The sequence below is a fragment of the Homo sapiens genome, chromosome 13 (genome assembly GCF_000001405.40).
Source record: "Homo sapiens chromosome 13, GRCh38.p14 Primary Assembly".
Taxonomy (NCBI): Eukaryota; Metazoa; Chordata; class Mammalia; order Primates; family Hominidae; genus Homo; species Homo sapiens.
The window spans coordinates 111,687,172-111,693,694 of NC_000013.11; the positions used below are offsets into that span (position 1 = coordinate 111,687,172).

The window sequence follows — 6,523 nt, forward strand, 5'->3', positions numbered from 1 at the left end:
GGTGGCTGCAATGCCTCTGAGGTGCTAGAGAGCCCTGTAGGTGGGAATGACACTGCTCTCTGCTCTTGTCTCCTCGGACACCCTCCCTGACAAGAGGCAGGCACCAAGAGCCGTGAAGGTCCAAGGATGCAGACACCTCTGGGCCCATCATATACACAGAGCTTGCTGCTTCATTGGCAAGATGATGTGGGGGGTTGGAGATGATTTTTGATCATCTGAGATTATCTTGAACTCAAGAGGCAACATCCTGAGTTTGTCCTACAGTCTCTCATTGGGATGGCACTAAAATATAGGAACCCCCTCGTCCCTCTAAATTTCTGCTGATTACTGTGGACCTTTGCATGATGCCAGAGTGAAGACAGAAAAGTAAGACACATAGAGGTATGATCCATGAAGAGCCATGATCCATGAAGAGCCATGATCCATAAAGAGCTATGATCCATGAAGAGGCATGATCTATGAATAGCTATCATCCATGAAGAGCCAGGATTTATGAAGAGTTATCACCCATGAAAAGCTACGATATCTAAAGAGCTATGATCCATGAAGAGGTATGATCCATGAAGAGCTATGATCTCTGAAGAGCCGTGATCCATGAAGAGCTATGATCTATGTAGAGTTATGACCTATGAAGAGCCATGATCTCTGAAGAACTATGATCTATGAAGAGCTATGATCTATGTAGAGCTATGATCCTTGAAGAGCCATGATCCATGAAGACCTATGATCTATGTAGAGCTATGACCTCTGAAGAGCCATGATCCATGAAGAGCTATGATCTCTGAAGAGCCAAGATCCATGAAGAGCTATGATCTATGTAGAGTTATGACCTATGAAAAGCCATGATCTCTGAAGAACTGTGATCTATGAAGAGCTGTGATCCATGAAGAGCCATGATCCATGAAGAGCTATGGTCTATATAGAGTTATGACCTATGAAAAGCCATGATCTCTGAAGAACTGTGATCTATGACGAGCTGTGATCCATGAAGAGCCATGATCCGTGAAGAGCTATGGTCTATACAGAGTTATGACCTATGAAAAGCCATGATCTCTGAAGAACTATGATCTATGAAGAACTATGATCCATGAGGAGCCGTGATACATGAAGAGCTATGATCTCTGAAGAGCTATGATGCATGAAGAGCTGTGACCTCTGAAGAGCTGTGATCTATGAAGACCTATGATGTATGTAGAGCTATGACCTCTGAAGAGCCGTGATCCATGAAGGGCTATCATCCATGAAGGGCTATGATCTATGTAGAACTATGATCCATGAAGGGCTATGGTCTATGTAGAGCTATGATCTCTGAAGACCTATGATCTATGTAGAACTCTGATCCATGAAGGACTATGGTCTATGTAGAGCTATGATCCATGAAGGGCTATGGTCTATGTAGAGCTATGATCCATGAAGACCTATGATCTATGTAGAGCTATGATCCATGAAGGGCTATGGTCTGTGCAGAGCTATGATCCATGAAGGGCTATGGTCTATGCAGAGCTATGATCCATGAAGGGCTATGGTCTATGTAGAGCTATGATCCATGAAGACCTATGATCTATGTAGAGCTATGATCTCTGAAGAGCTGTGATCTAACTGAAGATGTGACAGTCTCTTCTAAGAAACTCAGCAACAGTGTAGGGGTTATTCATTGGCGGTGGGCCTCACAAGACTTATTCCTGAACCTTACAGGAGTGAGAGCTGCAAGAGTTAGCGCAATTCAGAAAGAGGGGGCCCACAGAAAGTGAATTTATCTGAGAAGCCTCCGTACAGTGCTGGATCTTGGTGTCCTTATAAGGAGGCGGGAGAGATGCATGGAAGGAAGACAGCACGTGATGACGGAGGCAGAATGGGGGTTTTTTAGCTGCAAGCCAGAAAATATCATGGACTATGGAGCTGTGAGGCTCTGGAGACAGCCTGGCTCTGCCAGCACCTTGACTTCAGACTCTGGCTTCCAGAACTATGGGATTCTAAATATTTGCTACTTTAAGCCACCCAGTTTGCAGTAGTTCCTCACAGCAGCCTCAGCACACAAATCCAGAGTGCTCAGCCTGGTCTCAGGTGCCTAGAATGAAGGAGTCTTACTGAAAGGGAGCAGGAGTTTCCTAAGAAATGGTGTGGGCTCAGGTTTGGAGGGCCTTGGTGGGTGGGCGAAGGGGCCTGGATGCCAAGACGTTCGCAGAGGGAGTATGGGCAAGAATTGCCGGGTGGAGGAGTGTGGGATGAATTGGAAAGACTCGGCGAGGGAGGCTGGCAGAGGGGCTTTGTGAGTCTCCGGAACGGGGCGCTGGGCTCCCCTTAGAATCCACTCCTTTCTTCCAGAAGACACTGGGGAGGCTGCTGCGATCCTGAAGCAATGAAGTTCGGGCACCACCCCCCTCCCCCACACTGAACACGGCTTCTCCAATAATCCACGACCCCTAGGGGAGAGTAACAATTTATTTTTCTTTCTTGGCTACAATTAGGCTTCCAACCATGGTGCACCATTCCCGCCGTTGCCTCCATCACAACTTAAGACAATGAGAATGCATTCGGATGAAAGTCACCGATGGCAGCGCTGTTGGGCAGGGCTTTATGCGGGCGCTCAGCCCTGGGGCGGGAGGCCCCTCTTTCTTCAGCAAGACACAAATCTGAATGTGAAATGTCATTAGAGCCTCCTTCCTCTAGTACTGCTTCTTTTTAGAATAACAAAAACACATCAGTGGTAAGTTTCAGTGTTATTTTTAATAAAAGAAAACCCTTTAATTTACATATATTTAAGGCTAAGTAAATGAAAATGCATTATGTTACCACTGTTCTATTGAATAATGAGCCCAGAGGGTTCAGAAGAACAGTTTGCTTTTCAAACCTTGTACACCCCCAGCTCAAGCCTGCCCCTGGGGATAAGGGAGGGGACCAGATGGTATTGATTGTCTGGGGCCACACTGGGATGTTTTATGTGCTGGACTGGCAGTGCCCTGCTTGGAGACTTTGGGGAACAAGTGGGTCCTACATAAAGCTACCGCCCAAGGCCTGGTCATCTACAGCAGCACCTGCAGGGGCTCAGAACCCATCCCCCACAGGCTAGCCCAGAGGCAGGCATACCTGACTCTCCCAAAAGCAGTCTTCTAGCCTTGCCTCTCCAACACTGAGGCAGCAGAAGGCCAGGGAAACAAAAGAAATAGCGCACATACTTACATGCGTGTGCCCCCACACAAACACTTGTGCATACACACACACACACACACAAACACATACACTTACACACAAATATAGTTCTACATGCATAGACATACAAACACATGCACACACACAGAAACACATATACTCACACACACACATGCTCACACACATATACACACATGCACACACACAGAAACACATATACTCACACACACAAATGCACACACACATACACACACATACACACATGCACACACACAGAAACATACGCTCACACACACTGTTAAATGCATATAAATACAAACACACATGCACACACACACACATACAAACAGAAACACATGTGCTTACACACACACATACACACTCCTACATGCAAACACATGTACAAACATAATGTCCTCCCCTATATTTTATGAGAAAAAAAAATCCTTAGGATTTAAAATTCAAATTTTTCCCAGACTTCCAACTTGGAGTCTGGCATTCCCTTTCCCCCTTAGGTCCCCAAGGAGGCCATGCTGAAGCCTTGAGTGGTGTCCAGGTGAAGCGTTTAGCACAAACTCGGGCACGCAGAGCCCCAGAAGGAACATCAGGCATCATCACCATTATCATCAACTGTTTCATTAACAAGCATTTACTATGCTCTGCACTTTAACCCTTGTGGTCGTCCAGAATTCATTTTTTAAGAAAAATACTCCAGAGGCCCTGCTTGAGGTAAGAGGATCTGGTCCCGGCTCCAGTGAGATGCCCTCATTTCCGCCGTGGAGTGCAGGCTGGATGTGGGCAGAAGAAACACCTATCCCAGGGTCTCTTGCCTGCCTTCCGTTGCTTCACTGGGATTTTCCCTGGGCAACTTCTGGGTGTGATCCTGAGCTCACAGCGCTGTGTGAACAGTGAGCTGAGACCCAGCCCTTCCCCTGGGACAGCTTGGCCAGGGCTTCCTAGGGGAGGTGGCTTCTGTCCCAGGCCTGGAAGGGTCCCTGGGCGGTGGCCAGGCAGAGACTGAGCTGAGCAGGGAGCCAGCCACCTGCAGGCTGAGGAGGGTCCAAGTGGCCTGGGGGAGACCCGAGGCTGCCGGCAAAGGCGGGACATTCCTGTGGCCTTTCGGTGACATTACCACCTCTGTGCAAGGACACACTCTTTTCTCTCTGTTTCTATTTTCTCCAGTTAATCAGGTGACTTAAAAAGAAGCTAGATAACGGTATTGTTTGCATTGACAACATCCCGATGATACTGTCAGGAGAGATGGGGGAAATGTCGCCTTCTGAACCAATAGAGTTATTAGGGAACCCTCTGTCACCTCAGCACCCGGGTTAATTACCACAGAAAACCTGGGAATGGCAGCTATAATTTTTCTCCAGAAAGTACCGTATTTTTACTCTTGAGGCAATAAAATGCCCATGACAGTGCTTTGAAGGACCTCATTTTACAATCTAATGGTGTGATCATTTTACCAGAATGACCCTCTGTGCTCCTGTTCAAGGGGCACTGTCCTTGTGCATTTGATTAAATTTGGGCTGCAAGTTATGGGCTGCACAAATGAAATCCTCTCCTGTCTCCAGCGGCCCGTCACCATCTAGAGCATCTATGAATGGGCACGTTGGCCTACTACAGCATCTCTCTGGGAAATGGAGACTCAAGCCGCTGAGGGGACGGCATCTGCCTGCGCATGTGACTGCCTGGGCACGAGCTGATTCTGTTTGGACAGCCACATGCAGACATTTCTCAAACAGCATAAGGCAGCAAGCTGCTGGCTTTTGGCTCACATCAAAATTTTGGCAAGGAAAGCTGTTTAGAGAATTTTGATGGTTGGTTTGATCTTAGACCGTGACAAACCTGTGTGAATCTCATGAAACTGAAAACCACAGCTTGCAGAAGGCAGTCTGCACTGAGAGGCAGAAATGTGTGCGGTAGCATGTTGAACTTTCTCCTGAAGGGACAGACTTCTGTAATAGTGGTCACATCTCTTTATTGTCTTCTTGTTTCTAAAGGAGATGAAACTTGAAATGACTCATTTTAGAGCCTGACTGCTGGAGATGCTGCCCTGAGCTGCCAGGCTGCCCACTGGAGACAGAGGTGGCATAAGTCTGCAGCCTGATGTTGGAACACTCTTCATCCTTTCCTCTTTCAAGAAAGCCTGTCCTTTAGTTTTGGCTGTAGATTTTTACACGCTGCTCAGAATTGTATAAAATGCAAGGGGCCTGGGAGAAACGATGTATGACTCTTTCGTTCTTCTGCCTCCTGCCCTGTTGTTCACTCTTTTTGATTTAGACGCTGGCTGGCTGTGCCTGGCCTGGACACACCCTTACAGGAGCCACGGGGGTGTGGGAAGTCTTGGACCCAGAGGGCAATGCCTGGGGTCACGGTGTGCCTCCCAGTCTCAGCACTCAGTTCATTAGTAGGGTGGGCCCAGAGCTGGTGAGCGATGAACAGAAAGGCTGTAGGTAAACAAAGGGCAGAATGCTGGAGGGGCGGCCTCGAGGGGAGCTCTGGCTGACCCCCCAGGGTGTGGGGACCAAAGAGGAGACCTCCGGATTCCCTCCACCCTTGCCTGTCTCTGATTCCCCGGAACTTTACCGAGTGTGACTGTGCTTGGATGCCATACGTGGTCTGGCTCTCCTATAGATGGCAAGCTTGGTGAGAACAGGGACCATGCCCTGCGTGTCATGATGTCCCCAGGATAACGCAACACCTGGCCACAAACACCTGCCCCCAGAGGGACGTCAGGTGCTGCCGTGTGGCTCAGCACAGTCGCCTTTCAGCAGCATTCCCTGGGACCCCTGGGCCGATGCTAGAATGTTCTCTGAGGGAACCCAACCCTGAATGTTTTACATTGTGAAGCAGATGACTTATGAGGATGTTTTTGTTTTATCTTAAAAAATTGTCTTATTAGAGATTTATGGAGCTATTTTCCAAACCAAAGGCCAAACGTTCTTCCAACCTCATTCTTTAGGCTGCATGAAGGGATGAGCTCGTGTGGATTAGCAAGGGAATTCCCCCCTCACCTTCCCTTAGCGGGGACATCGTCACTGTCGGAAGCGTGATAGAACTGTCAAAAGTACACGAAATCAGCTATGCAAATGGTGAAACAGAAGTCACAGTTCCCTTTGTTCTGTGACAGGGTAAAAATTTCACATTTTTCATCAAAGAGGAAATAACATTCCAACACTTACACATCTAAATAATTGGGTAAGGTTCCTTCCACACTTCACATCACCCCTGTCTGGCTGTGCAGGGCCAGTCGCTGCCCTAACCAGCATGAACACTGGCCAGGTTTACCTGCCAGCTGCAAACACCATGTTCTCCTGGAGTATGCCAAGCTGTGGAGACGTTTGGGTCTGTCCTTGCAGAGCACAGG

General features: G+C 48.1%; 1 annotated feature.

Moving 5' to 3' along the window:
* Positions 5,285-6,270: an enhancer, noted in NCBI's record as "H3K4me1 hESC enhancer chr13:112344803-112345788 (GRCh37/hg19 assembly coordinates)". NCBI's record gives its function as "activates a minimal SCP1, AML or CMV promoter by ChIP-STARR-seq in naive H9 embryonic stem cells {active_cell/tissue: H9 hESC(naive)}" and the evidence as "EXISTENCE:reporter gene assay evidence [ECO:0000049][PMID:30033119]".